This window comes from Homo sapiens, chromosome 9 (assembly GCF_000001405.40).
Source record: "Homo sapiens chromosome 9, GRCh38.p14 Primary Assembly".
Lineage (NCBI taxonomy): Eukaryota > Metazoa > Chordata > Mammalia > Primates > Hominidae > Homo > Homo sapiens.
The window spans coordinates 109,493,346-109,512,229 of record NC_000009.12 but is presented as its reverse complement, the minus strand read 5'-3'; the positions used below and the strand labels follow the sequence as shown (position 1 = coordinate 109,512,229).

At 47.0% G+C, this 18,884-nt stretch overlaps 1 protein-coding gene and 1 non-coding gene across 6 annotated transcripts in view; both read left to right on the top strand.

The window, feature by feature from the left end:
- PTPN3 (protein tyrosine phosphatase non-receptor type 3) overlaps positions 1-18,884 on the top strand; it is a 162,727-nt gene that overhangs the window by 26,191 nt on the left and 117,652 nt on the right. For 2 of the 5 annotated variants that reach the window (NM_001145368.2, NM_002829.4), the window contains exon 1: positions 13,923-14,011. The exons of 1 other annotated variant lie outside the window; for it this stretch is intronic. The gene's annotated coding sequence lies outside the window, so the exon portion shown is untranslated. Of the gene's footprint in view, positions 1-13,922; positions 14,012-14,293; positions 14,568-18,884 lie in introns of those variants that run through there. 2 more of the 5 variants (XM_006717199.4, XM_047423636.1) reach the window with 1 other exon arrangement.
- On the top strand, positions 685-755 carry MIR3927 (microRNA 3927). The gene has a single exon (NR_037493.1). It is a non-coding gene; the product is annotated as a microRNA 3927 (primary transcript).

Below are 18,884 nucleotides of genomic sequence, written 5' to 3'. Positions count from 1 at the left end.
ATCTGGAAGGAATATCGTTAAAAAGCTCCTCAGGTAATTCTGATGCACGGCCAGGTGGAAGATTGGTCAATTGCCTCTTTTGGTTGCAAGGATAATTTGAGGCCCTGATGATAAAAATGTGGTCTGCAAGCCACCTGTCTCAGCATCACTCAGATGCAGTTTCCTGGACCTCGCCCTACCAAATTAGACCTACCAAATTAGAAATCTCCAGAGGTGGGCATATTTTAAACAAACTCCCAAGATCCATTTGTTCATTTATTTACAAATATTTCTTCAGGTCTAGGTATGTGATAAACACCATTCCAGGAACTGGGATATAAAGGCAAATGAGGCCAACAATGTCTCTCCCCTAAAGACACTTGAATTTTGACCCAGCTCTTTGAATGCTGGAGTTTGAGAACCACTATCTTAAAATAATACAGGGATTCAACCAAAGTTCCTATTGGGACTGCCTCAGTTATCCATTGCTGGTAACAAAACACTGCTAAAACTTAGTGGCTGAAAATGACAATGATTTTTCCCGTCCTCATGATGCAATGTGTTGGCTGGTTGATTCTCCTACAGGTCTGCTCTGGGTTCGACTGAGATAAACCTGGCCTGGCTGGGCCCCTCTCCATGAAGTTGTTCATCTCAGGCTTCTTAGGGCATGGTGGTTTCAGGTTTCCAAGAGGGCCAACCCCAATATGCCAATGCCTATCACATATCTGCCTGTCCTATGACAAACATGGCAGGTAGATATTTGATAGGCATTGGCACACTGGCAAAACGAAGTCCTATGGCCATGCTCAGCCTCAGCATGAAAGGGGAATTCACAGGAGTGTAGACACCAGAGAGTCACTTCTTTGGGGATCACTGCATTCTGTCAAAGTTACTGTGGCTGCCCCTTGAACCTGGCATCTCTTTGTGTATCTTCTCACTTCCCCACTGTTCTCTAGTTTAAACTCCTAGGTGAAGGAATCCAATTGGTCTTGCTAAGCACGTCCATGGCTCACAGTCACCCCTACTCATGGGGATTTTAGGACTCAGCAGGATTGCAAGCAGAGCTGGTGTAAAGGAGATGAGAAGGACACTAGGGGTATCTTAAGCACCATGGCTGAACCTCCCATAGGATAGTCATAAAATTCCCATGGTCAGTGCTTTAATCACCTTGATATAAAAATATGCCCCTAAATATTTTATGTATTTGTTGCTGGGAGCAAAGTTAAAGTTTTGTGTTTGATATTGATTACATGGATTTTTTTAATGTTTCTTTTTGATTTTTGGAATAACACATATATGTTGTAGAAGTTTTAAAAATACAAAAACGAAAATTAAAATCACTAGTCATAGCATTATCTAGAAAAACCTTTTAGCACATTTGCTTTCACATTTTTGCTCATAAATGTGTTCTTCTTTACAGAATTAGGCCAGCAATACAGCTTTCTGTCTTACACTCTTTGAATGCTGGAGTTTGAGAACCACTATCTTAAAATAATGCAGTGATTCAACAGGAGTTGAATCACTAGCATTATCACTAGTGCTAGCATTTTCCCACGTGATTACAATCTCCTCGTAAAATAATTTTGAGTTATATAACAATCAGTGAGACATACTATTTCATAATCATACAGTTGCTTGTTTCATATATATATATATATATATATATATATATATTTTTTTTTTTTTTTTTTTAAGACAAAGTTTCGCTCTTGTTGCCCAGGCTGGAGTGCAATGGCGCAATCTCGGCTCAATGCAACCTCTGCCTCCGGGGTTCAAGGGATTCTCCTGCCTCAGCCTCCTGAGTAGCTGGAATTACAGGCATGCACCACCACACCTGGCTAATTTTGTAGTTTTAGTAGAGACAGGGTTTCTCCATGTTGGTCAGGCTGGTCTCGAATTCCCGACCTCAGGTGATCTGCCCGCCTTGGCCTCCCAAAGTGCTAGGATTACAAGTGTGAGCCACCACGCCCAGCTGTTACATATTTTTTGGCAATTATCAGCAGTGCTATAATGACTCATTTCTGTTCATAAGCCTTTATCTGCATTTGGATTTTTCCATTGAATAGATGGGGTTCATATCTTTTCTTTATATAGCACAGTTTTTAAGATTACTTCAATGTTTCCTAATAAATAGCTAAAGAGATATTTTCCCTCCTGAATGGGACCAACACTTCCCTCTGCTGCATATGCCATATGGCTTTGCAGAATGGGTCTATTTCCTTTTGCTCCATTTCCTCTTGTTTGACAGGCCTTGTCTATCCCCATTTCCTTGTGGGTACAAAAGAGAGCCGGGCTGGGTTACGTTTTCAGTGACTTTACCAGAACTACAGACAGAGCTGTACATGTTCCCACGGTCACCTCTTTATCCAAACCATGGAAAACTGCCCTTTTTTTTTTTCCTTTCCATAACTGGCACAAGCTGTGTTTGGGTCAGGAACCCAACATCAACTACAAAGACTGACCTCCACCCAGGGAACTTGAGAAGAAGCTAGATAACACTGTTGGGAAATTATTCCCTCATGTGAATTGGCATTTGAATATGTGCTAGTATTATGCACATTTTTAAAATATCACTGAACTAAATGTAATGGAAAATAATACACTGGCCTTAGTAAGTCAAGGAACTTGGCCTGACGGGCATATCAATAAGGCAACCCAATGTCAACTAATTCACTCACTCATCACACTCTCAGTAAGTGCTAGATTCTATCCAGGAGCCCAGCATAAGAAAAGATGTTAGACAGTTAACAGTTGGAGTAGCAGACTTAAACAACTGTATATAATGTGTTAAAGTGAGAATCTAGTAGATAATGCAGAGGGAGAGGCCCCTGAGCCTATCTAGGTAATCAAAGAAAGCTGGTTACTGCAGATTGCGCAGGATTGAGAGAAATATGAAGGTTGCCTCAATGCATTTACCCTACAGTGTGAGAATAAAATACTGTCACAGAGGCTGACAACACTGGGGCAGCTTCCCATGATTGATACTGCACTATATACAATTCTAGATTGCAATGAAATCAAAACCATGAGACACTAAGAGGGTTTTAGCTTCCCTTTATTTCCTGATAATTTCAATGAGGGATTTTACAGACTTTTTAATTCTTCTGCTCAAATATGGAGGTCATAGGCCCCAGAGCTGGTTTGGAATTAGCTCACTCAGCAATACAGGTGGACAACAAAAGAATGTGCCCTTCACCTGTAGATCTTCCTTTAAAAATAAATAGAGATGGGGTCTCACTATGTTACCCAGGCTAGTCTCAAACTCCTGGCCTCAAGCAATCCTCCCACCTCGACCTCCCAAAGCACTGGGATTACAGGCATGAGCCACTGCCCACCTGCAGACCTTCTAACACAACTAGATGACTCTTGGGTGTGGAGGTTGGTGGGTGGGGGGGGGACATCCTGACTTACTTGTTACACATAGGCAAGAAATTTAGAGTGCACAGTGATATCCAATCACAGATTAGTTATACCTTATTTGGGACACTGCTGGACACATCTTTCTACATCTATCTATATCTCTTTTCTATCTACTGATTGATTATTAAGCTAGCAAGAAAAATTCTGGAAGGACTTTGACAAAGAACCTTTAGATACAACATCACCCTTCTTGCTCACTGCAGAAAAGCAAGCAATTTTTTTGTAAGGGGCACATAGCCCTTCACATATCTTGCTTAGACATAATAGTCACAGCCTAAATGGCTTCAGGAAGATCTTTCTGAAAGGGGCACACACATTGATAACTCAATGCAAGTCAAAATGTGATGAGAAGCATAAAAGAAAACAGAACAGGCCAGGCGCGGTGGCTCAAGCCTGTAATCCCAGCACTTTGGGAGGCCGAGGCAGGCAGATCACAAGGTCAGGAGATTGAGACCATCCTGGCTAACACGGTGAAACCCCATCTCTACTAAAAATACAAAAAATTAGCCAGGCATAGTGGCAGGCGCCTGTAGTCCCAGCTACTTGGGACGCTGAGGCAGGAGAATGGCATGAACCCGGGAGGCAGAGCTTGCAGTGAGCCAAGATCGCGCCGCTGCACTCCAGCCTGGGTGACAGAGCGAAACGCCATCTCAAAAAAAAAAAAAAGAGAGAGAGAAACAGATCAAATACTCTCTGGTGCAGGGATTAGAGAGCTCATAGCCAGTGGAGATAATCGGGGAAGAGGCAGTTTCTGAGATGGACCTTAACCAGGATTTCAACAGGCAGAGACAGTCGAATGTGTTGTTTCGGGAGGTTGATATAGGTGACCTTCATTTTTCAAGGGGAAGCAAGAAAGAGGTTTGTGCCTGTGCTTGGGCTGGGATGACCAAGGCTGGACAGGGGGTGACATTCAGGACCCAACTGAGAGACACCCAAGAAGGTGAAAAATGGGGAAATAGTAATGTTTTCTGATATGATAGCTGGAGAACTTCATAGGGATGAAGAAGAGTGTTATGGATGGAGGCCTCAGTGGCTGCTGCATAAAGTGAGTCCCGGAGCACTGCTTGGGCATCTCAGCAGGAAGTCCTATGACCCTTATCAATCTGCACCCCTTATGTGAAGACGATGTGCCTTAGGAACTCTGCTGTCCCTGGCTGAACACAGATTCCTTTAACTTCACATGTGACTCATGTTTACAAAGGCATCGCTGGACAGTCCGTTTGGACTGTGATGCAATGACTGTGTGTACCATGGAAAAAATGAGAAAGACATCCTAGCAGGACGCCAGGGCGCAGTTGAGGAAATCCTGTGGTGTGTCATCCGTGCAACACTAGAAGCACCAGATCACTGGGCAGGCTGAATAGCATCCCCCGTTCTTAAAATGTCACCAGGAATTCGGAGCACAGTGTTCTCCTGGGCCCAGGACAGGTTTCCAGTTTCTCGGCAATGAAATGGTAAGCCAAGCAAGAATAGGTTTTCAGATAACTGTCTTTTCATGGATGTGACTTCCAGCAGAGGGCTGACCAGTTGGAATTCTCCATCTCACTTCTCTGGCCATTCTGTTACCACCTGTATCAGGGAGGCATCATTCCTGATCCCTGGGTCACCAAAACCATTTTTCCTTTTCTTTTATCCTTATCCAAAAGCTCTCTTCTGTTCCATCCCTCAGCCACATGAATTTCCAGTAGTAGTGAGAGTTCTTGACCTCCAGCTGTTTCCTTCAAGCAAGGTATGGATTGTTGTGCCCTGGTCGTAGAGCCTTGGCTTGTTAAGAAACCTGGGCTTTGCACTTGGTCAGCAAAATTTGGAGGCAGCCAAGATGGAAAACAAAACAATTCTGAAAAAATATTAGGCATGCTTCATTACTTTTTTCCAAATGAGAATGTTTTTATTTAAAATAGGTTATACATCACATGGTAGAAAATTCAGACTGGGCACTGTGGCTCATGCCTATAATCCCAGCACTTTGGGAAGCCAAGACGGGAGGAATGCCTGAGCTCAGGAGTTTGACACCAGCCTGGGCAAAAAGGCAAAACCCCATCTCTACCAAAAATACAAAAATCAGCCAAGTCTTGTGGCATGCACCTGTAGTCCCAGCTACTTGGAAGGCTGGGGTGGGAGGATTGCTTAAGCCTGGGAGGTTGAAGCCACAGTGAGCTGAGAATGTACCTCTGCACTCCTGCCTGGGTGACAGAGATAGACCCTGTCGCAAAAAAAAAAAAAGAAAGAAAGAAAGAAAAGAAAGAGAGAGAGAGGAAGGAAGGAAGGAAAGGAGGGAGGAAGGGAGGAAAGGAGGGAGGGAGGAAGGAAGGAAAGAAGGAAGGAAGGAAAGAAGGTAGGTAGGAAAGAAGGAAGGAAGGGGAGAGAAATGAAAGAAAGAAAAATAAAGGAAGAAAATTCAGAAGGTACAAAAAGGTTTATGTAAACTTCCATCCCTCCTCTGCCCCACTCATACAGTTCCTCTTCGGGAGGGGATGACCTTTCCAGTTTCAGTTTTGTGTGTATCCTGCATACTTTGATGTGTTTATTTTAAGGTCCACTGCTCTTAGCAAACATCACCACTACTATCCCTATTACTGCTGCCTTTCCAGTCACATGGTTAGCTTGCTTCTGGTCCCAGGAGAGCATGGTGGATGACATCAGAGACCCAAGGTCAAGAGCAGAGAGCCTGAGAGCTGAGGGTCCGTATATGTGGTTGGGGCATGCCCTTTCTTCATCTCTTCTTCCCCTCTCCTTCTACCCCTTTCTATGGGCACCTCCTTTAAGAAGCTGATGTTCTGGGCCGGGCGCAGTGGCTCATGCCTGTAATCCCAGCACTTTGGGAGGCTGAGGCAGGCGGATCACGAGGTCAGGAGATCGAGACCATCCTGGCTAACACGGTGAAACCCTGTCTCTACTAAAAAAATACAAAAAATTAGCCGGGCATAGCGGCAGGCTCCTGTAGTCCCAGCTACTCGGGAGGCTGAGGCAGAAGAATGGCATGAACCCGGGAGGCAGAGCTTGCAGTGAGCCGAGATCACGCCACTGCACTCAAGCCTGGGCCACAGAGCGAGATTCTGTCTCAAAAAAAAAAAAAAGAAGTTGATGTTCTGATCCTCAGTTCCATCCATCCAAGCATCAGTAATACCTAGAAGACCATTAGTAAAATTTCCCATCCTTTAGTTTATTACTCAGACTATGTTCTTGGTGTACGTATATTGGAGGTCATAGGACAGAAGTTAATAAAACTTTGGTGTACAAAAGATTCTTATAGGCTGGGTGCAGTGGCTCACGCCTGTAATCCCAACACTTTGGGAGGCCAAGGCAGTAGGATTGTTTGAGCCCAGGAGTTTGAGACCAGCCTGGCCAAAATAGCAAGACCTCATCTAAACAAAGACACAAACAAAAAAAATTAGCCAGGTGTGGTGGCATGCGCCTCTAGTCCCAGCTACTCCAGAGGCTGAGGCAGGAAGATCACTTGAGCCCAGGAAGTGGAAGCTGCAGTGAACCATGGACACATCACTATACTCCAGTCTGGGTGACAGAGCAAGACTCTATACCAAAATAATTACTATAGTAAATTATAAAATGCAGGTTCTTGGGTGCCACACCCAGAGATTCAGAAGGTTCATGGCTCAGGTCAGGAGTCTGGTTTTCCACACAGACTTCTTCCCCCATGGTGACCTGGTGGCTGTGATCTACATGGCTCCTGGATCACACTTCCAGAAACACTGCCTTCACTATTATTACTGACTCTCCTCCCTAGAATCCTCTATTAGGGATTACTGAGTATTTCCTTCATCACTGCTGGTTTTTCAAAGCCATGACCACTGTATGACTATTCTACATTACCTAGGTGTTTTCCTCTCTCTTTGTTTTCAGTATATGAACTTTGAGGCTGTGGTTGAGAGACTTCTGACAAACCCATTTTCCCTGGGTTTTGTAAGATGACACCACCCCTTTCAGGGAAGGCGATTGTTTCGGTCAGCTGCAGTTCAGGACGCCATCTTCCACTCTCTGCATGTCTCATCGTCTCAGCTTCTGTTGATGGAAGCATCCTCAATGATCTGAGTTTCCAGAGAAGGATCTTAAAGTCCCTACACTTACGTTTCTGTTTTCCCATGTGGTAGCAAATCCACATGGTGGTTCACAGGTCCATTACAGTATGGTCCTCTGTCAGTTTTACAGTGTGGACACCCAAAGAGTGTTTTTCAAACTCCCTCCATCCTTGAGGGTTCCCACAAGTGTCCTTGAAGGTCTGGGAATCATCTGAGTTTATTGTTTAATGTCATCTTTCCATCTCTATGATAATATTAAAAATATATGCATAATCTGGACTGTCTGGCTGACCCCCTTATAGCGGAGGGCTGCTATATAATTTTGGTTCCCTTATTTGAATCTGTGTTTACCACCAAACTGGCATCAACTGACCACCCCAAGGGAAAGAATTTACTTTTTGATGAGCTGACAAGCACATCTGGCAGCCATGAGGTTGGCTTGGCTCCCTGTCCAGCTGAGACTGAAAGGCTGTCCTTCTTGGGACTAGAGGATGAAGGGAGGGCCCTACGGGTCTGGTGCCTGATACCTCTCTGACTCCATCTCCTGCAGCTTTCTCCCTTGCTCACCAGCTTCTTTAATCTAGAGAGGCTCCCTCAAGGGCCTTGGTATCACCCATCCTATTCTCTCTGACCAGAAGATTCTTCCCCCAGATACCCGCAAGAATAACACTCTCATCTCCTTCAGGTCTTTGCTTAAGTGTTTGCTTAAGAGATTACGTTTCTCAATCCTATTTAAAATTACAACTCTCTGCCCCCATCCCTCTCCCTACTATACTTACCCTGCTCTTTTTACAATTCATTTATTTATGATGTTTATTGTTCCTTGTACCTTGCTCTATTAGACCGTATGCTCCATGAGAGCAGGGATATTTTTGTTTTGTTCACAGATGTCTCCCAAGCACTTAGAGTAGTGCCTGATACATAGTAGGGTATATAATAAATATTTAATGAATGAATCTACCAATGTCTAATTGACAACAATCCCTTCATCACTGCTCTTGTACTCAAATTTATCAGTTTTACAGACAAAATCCCTCTTTTACAGTGATAATTTGCAGAGGAAAGACTTTTTTTTTTTTTTGAGATGGAGTCTCACTCTGTTGCCCAGGCTGGAGCGCAGTTAGTGGTGCAATCTTGGCTCACTGCAACCTCTGCCTCCAGGGTTCCAGCGATTCTCCTGCCTCAGCCTCCCAAGTGGCTGGGATTACAGGCATGTGCCACCACACCTGGCTAATTTTTGTATTTTTTTTAAGTAGAGACAGGGTTTCACTATGCTGTCCAGGCTGTTCTCAAACTCCTGACCTCAGGTGATCTGCCTGCTTCGGACTCCCAAAGTGCTGGGATTACAAGCATGAGCCACCTTGCCCAGCCGAGAAAGACATTTTTCAATGGATAAAACATTAGGCTGAAATGTTTGTGTTTCTCAAAGTGAGATTCATCGAGTCCAGGAGCCTTAGAACACAGGCTCAGGGGATGAAGTGTCCTGAATTTGACTAACGCTTCTCTAGCATGCTCCTGGCTGACCACCTTCTCGCTCCTGAGCCAGAAATAAACATCTTGCTGTCATTCACCATGCCTGGTGACTCTTTGTCGGTAGGCAGGGTGGGCTTCACCCTCCATGAAAGGAGCCTCTCACTTTTTTTTGAGCAATTCTGGAGTAGTCATTTTCCCTCTCTTTACATCATTTTCTTTAGCTTGCCAACTTTTGAATTTGTTTCATTTTTCCAGATTATGAAAGAAACATACATAAGATTTAGAGAACTATAAAGACATACAAAAAATAGACACCCAAAGACTTGAAATTCTCCTAATTTGTAAAAGATAACTTCTGTAGCCTGCCTCTCTGCACATAAATGCAATAGTCAGACACACCACCAATAATATTTTGGTGCAGTTTTTCTAGTTTTTGTTCTATGTGTATGCATTAAATTGAAATACAGGAAGTTACCGATGTTCAACCATTTTGACCCATAAAATGGCAATTTCATATTTATTTATTTGAGACAGAGTCTTGCTGTTGTCCAGGTTGGAGTGCAGTGGCACAACTAGGACTCACTGCAGCCTCAACCGCCCTGACTCAAGTGATCCTCCCACCTCAGTCTCCCAAGTAGCTGGGACCACACATGGGTGCCACCACATCCAGCTAATTTTTTTCTTATTTGTAGAGACAGGGTCTCACTACATTGCCCAGACTGGTCTCAAACTCCTGTCCTCAAGCAATCCTCCCACCTCAGCCTCGCACAGTGCAGGGATTACAGGTGGGAGCCACTGCACCCTGCCTGGCAATTTATAGTTCAACCTACTGAATTCCCACATACCATACCATGTGTATTTTACATCATATTCTTTTCATGTCATTCTAACAGCACCACTTGCCCATGTATTTATGGATTCTCGGGCTCTTCATAAGCTTGCATTAACAGCACAAATAATTGATGAGCATTAGCATCTCAGCTCAGAGCACTGCTTTGTAAATCACTGGAGCAGTACAAGTAGGGCAGACTTCCCAAGTCTTGATGCGAATGACAATCCTCAGTGATTCTTCCAGGAAACTCTTCCTATAAATTCCCTTAACCAATTGCCTGCATACAGTGCCTGGCACCTGATTTTCTGCCCCAATGGCAGCTTCTGGGAATGCTGCTAATAACTATGTTTAGATGTTCATCTCTTGTTCCTCTTTTACGAATCTGGTCCATTACCTGTGATGTATATTCAGTTTGTAGCGTATCTTACTCTCCAATAAAATGATGCTCTTTTGTTTTCTTTGTTGTTATTGTTTTTCACGGTTTCTGGATCTTTCAGCCAGGTACAGTCTACTGGCACTAAGAGAGAGAGGTGACTATATTTTTGAGCTTCGCAGGAGGAGGGCTGCTCTTACGGTCCTGGCTTTCTCTCAGCAAACATCATCAGGACTATCAGCTCTCTGTCATTTCATCACAGAAAAGTCCCTGAGGAGTCCATGGACCAGGTGGTTCCATCATGTTGTGATCCTGCCTCCAAAGTGAATGCCCAGAGACGATAATCTATGTGGGTCCTCTCTGGACCAGTCGATCTGGGACTGAGTACAGCTCTATTCCCAATTGGGCTTTAATTTGCTCTACACTTGGCTGAGTTCAACAATAGCCTAAGAAGATTATGTGCCCATTCAAAAGCCCCATTTACGTAAGGTTTGGGAGCTTATGATATAAGATCAACTGTCATTGGTAATAATAACCTTATGTCACTCCAGATGCAACAGCTTAAAAGGATAGACTTTAACATTTTGGCCCCAAGAATAAAACAGTAACAGGAGACTAGAACATTTAAAGGTAATCTGTAGCCTACAAACACATCAAAGGGTAGAGAAAATAAGGCAAAAAACCCTACAAAATTAGATGACATATAGCTTCTCTTATCATCAATACATGGTAATCTACTACACAGAGAGGCAGTGTGTCCTAAAACCTAACACCCTGACTTTGAGATCAGATTGACTTGTGTTCAAATCCTCACCCCCTTAACAGCTGTGAACAGCCCCTAGATTGTTTTCTCTTCTGTAAAACTGAGCTAAAACACCCACTCTGTAGAGTGATGGTAAGGATTAAAGAGAGAATATATATAAAATATTCATCGTACTTGAGCTTGATAATAGCAGTTACTGTAACTGGATATACACAAAACAAGAATTTTTAATTTGATCTTTTAAATGCTTATTATTGCAAACATGTCATTGTGACATTAATAAACTTTTAAAAAACACCCAAACTTACTACTCCAAAAAAATGACTAGTTAATTTTCCCATATTTCCTTCCAGTCTTGGTGAATGTGTCAACACCATGTTTATACAATCTATTTGTGTTTTTAGCTTTTTTTTTTTTTTTTATTTGAGACAGAATCTCGCTCTGTCATACAGGCTGAAGTACAAATGGTGCCATCACAACTCACTGCAGCCTTGACCTTCCTGGCTCAAGAGATCCTCCCACCTCAGCCTCCCATGTAGCTGAGGCCACAGGTGCATGCCACCACACCTGGATAAGTTTTTTTTTGTAAAGATGGGGTCTTGCTATGTTGCCCAGGCTGGTCCTGAACTCTTGGGCTTAAGCTACCTTCTCACCTGGATCTCCCAAAGTGCTGGGATTACAGGCATGAGCCACCTCACCCGACCTGTTTTCTGCGGTTTTTTTTTTTTTCATTTAACATTGTACCGTGTTTTCCCTGTTGCAACATGGTCTTTTTAACTTAGTGTAAGATAGTTATTATTTCAACTAATATACCATAACCTAATTAATCATCCCTCTGTTATTGAGTACTTAGTTTGTTTCCAATTTGGGGAGTATTCTTTCATTTTGTTCCTGCTTCTGTTATGGTGATTTAAAACGCATGATTTTTAAAATATTTAGGTCTTTCCTTTAGGTGTAAGCATGTTCCTAGCTCAAAGTTGAGGGCATCGTTTAAGCTAACAGCTGTTAGCTGTGGGAAAAGAAAAGGTAATTTCAGTCTAGGGGTCAGCAGATTAAGACAACTTCGAAAATTCACACATCCTCCGTTGACCTCGGTTTCCTCATCTCAGCAGTTGGCAAACTGGCATGAGGATGACGGCTGATTTTGGTAGGCACTCAAGAAATGGATCTTTAAGGTGGTCTAAACACGTTCACGTTCCTTATTTCACTCAACTTCCACTCGGGTGCCCAGATCGAAGCGTAGGTATTCACAATGGTTGAAGCACAGAGAGGATAAGGCAGTGGGGAAAGGACAGAGAATGCCTCCTGCTGAGCCCGGGGGCGCTGGGTGGAGCTCTGCGGGGGGCGTCGCCTGCCCCTCCAGGGGGCTCCTCCTTCCGGGGGCTCCGGCCCCGCCCGGCTCCGAGCATGCCCAGTGCGCTCCCCGCCCGTCCGAGTGGTGCTGAGCGGGCGCCGCGGCTCCAGGTTTTGCTGGCGACTCGAGGCCGGGCCGGGCCGGGCGGGGCGCGGGCGGTCCTGCCCCTGGACTCCGGGCTCCGTCGGAAATCCCCCCGACGCGATGCACGGGCGGCACCCGCTGCAGCGGCGCTATCCCGGGACGTGCGACTCCGGGACAAGGACCGAAATGAGGTTCCAGGGGCTGCCGAGGCCTCAGTCTATCCCTGGAACGACTGCCCCCAGGACCTGGCACCCAGGCCCGACTGGAGGGTTCCAACCATCTCTGCATCCCTTCGTTCACATATTCAACAAATAATGTTTGAGCGCCTAGTGTGTGCCAGACAGTGTTGCAGGGGGGTCACTGCAGTAAAGACAAGCAGAGCTACAGCCCCAAAGCTGACATTTAGGAGGGAAATACAACATGAGAATTAAACAAATCGGAGGAAAAGCCAAAGTGACCAACCTCATCTGCTCCTCTGCCTCCTTGCCGTTCCCTAAGCGGTCCGGCGCTCTTTTGGGTCTTGGCACTGGCTGTTCCCTCGGCCAGGAATGCTCTTCCCTGCTTATCTGCGTGGCTGAAATACCACTATCACCTTCTCAGTGTCACCCAATCAGACCGTCCATCAGCTCAAGGGCCCTATCCGACCGCTTCACTGAAAATTCACTGCTTACCTCCAGCCCCAAATCTCCTGACCCTGCTCTTTTTCCTCTTAGAACTTATCACTTTCTAATATAATGCATAGTTTGCTAATTTGCTGTTTATCTGTTACCTGTCCCTCTTTCCCCAAACTCCACTGGGGGACAGAATTTTTGTCTATTTGTTCCCCACGCGAGAAAAACCAGAATAGGTGCTCAATAAATATTTGCTGAAAATGGATAAATCACTGTTAAATGCTATGAAGAAAACAGAGTACACGGAGTGGTCAGGAGCAGAGGGCTAATCGAGGAAGGTGGTCAGGAAAGGCCTCTCTGAGGAGGGGACCTATGTACAATGAGAAGGCGCCGGCCACGTGAAAAGCTGGGCAAGAACGTCCCACAGAGGGAAAGGCGGGCGCCAATGTCCTGAGGTTAGTGAAGTTCGAGTGTTTGATGGACAGAAAGGCGCTCTAGGATCCGCAGGAAGGCAGGTGTGAGATGAGACGGAGGTGGGAAGCAGGAGCACAGATCAGGTAGGGGTCCCACGAGCCTTGGGGAGGTTTAACCAGGGAAGCTTACTAGTGCCAAGGGACGAGCACTGGACTGGAAGTCAGCGGGACCTCAGCTCAACCGCGCACCCGTCGTGCAAGACTCCTCATTTCAAAGTTTCTTTGGGCGCCGACTTCTTGCCTTCCCTAGGCATGAAATCACTGAGGGCCTGGCACACAGTAGGTGCCCAGTCATGGCTGTGGAACGAATGGCTGCATGCATGCGCGAGGGAACTCAGGACCTGCCCGGAGCTCGGCGGAGAGCCCCGGTGCCCCTAGGAGATGCGTCGGGGCGCGCCAGCCCGGGGCGGGGGCGGGAGAACACCGCAGGCCAGCCCGGACGCCCGCCCCCCGCCCGGCGCGCGGGCCCGTCGCGGCCAGCCCGGCCGGCGGGAACCGCCCGCGGGCGGCACTGGGCATGCTCAGACGGCGGCCAGGTCGCGCCGCGAGCGAGCTTCCGCGCCGCCCGCACGCGCGACCTACCTGGGCGCTCCGCGCCCCCGGATGCTGCAGGTACGGGCCCGTGCGACCCCAGCGGGCCGGGGGCAGGGTGCGGGGCTGCCGGGGGCCGGGGTCGCGCTCGGCGCCACCCCGCCCCCACCCGTCCCTGGGGCGCGCGGCGGACGCGCGGGCGGGCTGGCGGGTGCGGCTGCACCGGGATCCCCGCACCACGTCGGGGCGGGGAGGGGGCGCCCCGCTGCGCTCACCTGGCGGGGCCGGGGCGGGAGGGCGCGGGCGGGGCGCCGGGTGGGGCTCGGCCGGGGCGGGCTGGCGGCCGGGACGCGGCGCCGGAGCGTGGGCGTGCGCTCCAGCCGGGCAGGGGCGGGCGCAACCCGCGGAGCCCGTGCGTCCGGCACCTCCGGAGGACCCCGTGCCGCCGCGACCCCGGCTCGGGGCTCCGAGGGGGCACACAGCCCGCGGGGAGCTAGCCGAGAGCGGCTGCCAGCGCTCGGCTCCCAGGGCGAATCCGCCTCTCGGCTTTCAAAGATGGCATTTCCTGGGCCTGGCACGAAACTCCAGAGCCAATAAATCCTCCCCGTTCCGCGGACGATATGGAATGATTTATCAGGTACCTGCGGTGAGACAGCTGCAGATGGGGGAGTGTATGTGAGAGTGCCCAGCCCCCCCGAAATTCCCATTTTCAGCTACCTAAACTTACTGAGAAGTTGCGGTTGCCTTAAAAATTCATGGGAAGTTGAGACAACTTGACACCTGGGTTTTCCAAGCTGGTGGAAAGAGCTTGTGACTTGGAAACTGGAGACCTCCGTTCAAGTTGGGCTCCCCCTTGGCCAGCTGGTGACCTTGGCAAGTTGTTTAACCTCTCTGGTCCTCAGTTTCCTCCCTTGCAATCAGCTGGTAATAATGCCCACCTCGCTGGGTTGTTGAGTGGATTAAGTGGGATAAATTATGTGGAGGTGTTTGGCACCGTGCCCGGCACAAAGCTAGCAAGCAGTTGGCGTGATGTGAATTTAATTCGTTTAGAGACCCTCGTGGCTCTCATTTCAGGAGGAAATTAGAATTAGGAAACCATCTTCAGGGCCTAGTGGTGGAGTGACAGACCCTGTCTCTGTGCCCAGGAGAACTTCTGCCGAAGTCAAGGCCTTCGGAAAAACAATTTAGCCGAATTGTAATCAGAGAGCATCTCCTTTAAAAGCAGTTTTATACATTCAGAAACTCCAGAAGTTGGCAGTTGGCTTCACTTACAAAAGAGCTGTTTTGCAAGATGATCCATCTTGCAAATGTTTAAGCAGATGATGGGAGAAAGTAAAGCCTGCTTAGGAAGATTTCTGTTTTAAAAAGCTCCCAAATCCAACTTTAAGCGATTATTTAGATCAGGGTTTCTCAGCCTTGCACTATTGACATTTAGGGTTTGATAATTCTTTGTGTCCTGGGCATTGTAGGGTTTAGAAGCATCCCTGGTCTGTAGATTCCAGTAGCAATTCCTGTTCCCCAGTTGTTCCAATCAAAAATGCCTCCAGTATTGTCAGATGTCCCCTAGGGAGCAAAATGCCACCCCAGCACCCCTTTAGAACCACCAATTTAATTCTTGCTTTCTGTCATTAGCCCGAGTTGTTTGAGAATTTCATCTTGTGCTTTTGTAATAACTAACCTTTGCATAGCCTTATAGAACTTACAGAGTACATTCACCTGTATCGTCTTATTTAATCTTTACAACTCCCTTGTGAGACTGGTGTCACTCCCATTTTACAGATGAGGACATGGAGGCTCTGAGCAGCCAATTACACAGTATGTGGTAGAGCTGGGGTGTAACCCAAGTCTCCTGGTTCCAAGGGCAGGTCTTTTTCTTCTGCATCAAGCTGCCTGTCCCTTTGTTGTATGGAGGCTTTGATATGGATGACTTTCCGGATGATTAAATCAAGATGTGAAGTATATTGGAAGTTGGAAACTTTTCTGAGATTGACTAGTTGAAAATTAACAACAGTAAGCTATTATCTGACAGAGTAGGCCATTCTAGTTAAATATTCTAGTTTATAGCGAGCTCCCATAAATCCCACATGCAGTTAATGGAATACCAATTTGCAGAGAATTAGAGTAGAATAGAACGTGCCTAATACTCTGTATTGATCCTGCGTTTTCTCTGGTGATTTGCCATCTCCTAAAAAGGACTCATATATGCAAATTAGACATTAGCTGGGGAATATAAAAGGTCAAGTTACTGAAGGCATTTCAGAGTAGCTGAGGCATTTATTGAACTTCTGTATGGCAGATGTAGTGCTGAGTGGGGATGTGGGGTGCACCCCAGAGAATCCAGGTTGCCTGCATCCACTTCCGTGCAGGAAAGGGCAGGCCCTGGTCAGGCCAGACAGGTGGTGGGCCCTCAGACAGCTTGGAGCAGGAGAAAAAGCCCAAGTTACCATGGAAGCAGATTCAGGATCCCTTACCATATCATCAGTCATGTCTCTGACCCCTCGATTCATCTTTTATCATACAGAAGATACTCTGGTAGTTTTAAGCATTCTCATTCAAGTCTCAGAGACCTGGTTAGGGAGGCAAGGTCAGAGACAAATCTTATCCCTGGAAAAAGCTGGGGTTCCGAGGTGGTAATTGGCTTCAGAGAATTGAGAGCAACGCTTTGTTGGCTGTGAACTGGAAGGTTTCACACACAGTGGGGTTTGTTGCTGCCAAACCCCACCCCATTCCCCACCTTGCAGATAAGGAAACTGAGCTGGCAAAGGTAGAGTGGGGCCAGGAGCAAGAGGGACCAATTTTGACCTTCTGAACTACAGGTCCAGGCACACAAGAGACATTTTCTAGGACAGGCATAACCTACCAGAAGGGCTCAGCTTTGGGGATGGGAGGGAGTGAGAAGACATGGCACCCTGCCTTTCCCCAACCCTCCGGGTTTGTGGTGGTTGAGAAAAGACCAGCAATTTGTGGTCCCTACATCTTTTCCCAGGAGAGCTCACCTTCCAGCATTGCGGTCCTGGAAAGCAGGGACAATGCCTCTTTATCTTTTCCCAAGATCTGTTGTAGAAGCTGGAATGCTGAAGGCACCCAGCACATACCCTGGTCTGGAAGGGCTGGTGGGGGTGCAGTAGCCTACCCAGCATCAGCTCTTCATTCCAACTCTAATAGAGACAGGAGGAGACCAGGTCAGTGTCCACACTGCTCTTGGCTGGGTCCAGGTGACCTCAGAGCCTGATCTTATAGATGTCTTCTTTCCTCTGGCCGAGAAGGACCTGAGAAGTGCTTGGTAAGCCCCTGGCTGAAAACTGATTTGGTAATGGGTTCTAAGACCCAGAAATGTTGCATCTCCAGAGCTTCTGCTTGTGTGTGCACCTGAAGCTTCCCACTGCCCCCAGGTTAACTTGTTATTCCAAGACCAGGTGTGAGCACAGATTTAACAGCAAATTGAGACATTTATTGAGTCTCTACCATGTATTAGGCCATAGGGCTACAGAGGTGAACGCTGAACCCCTGCCTTGGAAGGATTCATGGTGGATTTGGAAAGACAGTTTGTATATGTGTATGTGCGTCCCCATCCATCTGTCCATGGTCCTGTAAGTACTTTAAAAGGATAAGCTAGGTGCAAGAGACACCAGAGGATGCAGCCATTCATTCCGATGGGCATCAGGAGACACTGTGGAGCGTAGTTCTAACCATGGGGAGAAGTTAGTTCTAACTTCAAGGCATAATTTGAATTAAGCCTCAAACTTAGGAACAAGATGGCATTTAGGGCAGGCAAAACAGCAGGGGCAAAGGCATGAAGAGACTTTGTGGATCATAGGCGTGGTGATTCTTCTCCAAGTCCAACCTGGTCTTTTTTGTTTTTTGAGACAAGGTCTCACTCTGTCATCAGGCTGGAGTGCAGTGGCCCGATCATGGCTCAAGCAGTCCTCCTTGTACCTCGCACCTGGGACTACAGGCATGTGCCACCACACCCAGCTAATTTTTTATTTTTTGTGGAGACAAAGTCTTACTATGTTGCCCAAGCTGGTCTCGAACTCCTGGGCTCAAACAGTCCTCCTGCCTTGGCCTCCCAAAGTGTGGAGATATAGGCGTGAGCCACCGCACCCAGCCAAATCCAGCCTCTTGGTGTTCACTAATGCAGAACCCACCTGCTCTGGTTCGGGTCTGCTTTATCTCTGTACATGGGCCAGGCCTCACCTAGCCCAGGGCTAAGTGCCTATTCTCCTTGTTTTCACCTGGATGGGAGCAATGCCACTGTGTTGTCTTTGAGGCAGGAGTAACTTCTGCAGGGATGCCTCTGGTTTTAGTTATCAGCACTAATCTGTACTTATTGGTTGCCACACACTGTTGTGAGTGCTCTCCAAATAGTAACTTAATTCATTTAATCTTCACAGCAACCCTGTCGCCAGGCTGCCTCCCAGGTACAAGTAGGTGGGGGCTGAACTCCTCTGCCCAGTGTATGTCCCTCTGTGGGTGATGCTCTGATTGTGGCCCGGCCTCCCCCTGGCTGCCTTTACATAGATGTGCCGGGAAACAGCCCAGTCTGAATTGCAGTGGAGCACTGACCCCATTTCCTTTAGGGGACCGGCAGGACTGTGCTGACTGCGTTTTCTGAACCAAAGAACGGGATCTGTAGTGTGAAAAAAGAATGTGTGTGCCACTGCTTTGTGCAAGAGGAGGCCTGAGAAGTGTTTGGATACTGAGAGAGTGGAATTTTTGAAACATTTTGATGGTTTATATGGAAAGTTAGGACAGAGGATTTGAAATTGGAATAGTCCTGGAAAATTGAGGTCCCATGATTTACTGTTAGGATACACAAGCTTTTAGTAAATGTTTAAGCAGTGTAGAGTGAAGTGAATTTTTTTTACTGAGCCCCCATAGGGAACAAACAGTGCATTTTAGCCTCAAAATCTGACTGATTCCTTCCAGCCCCATTTTACAGAGGGGGTGAGAA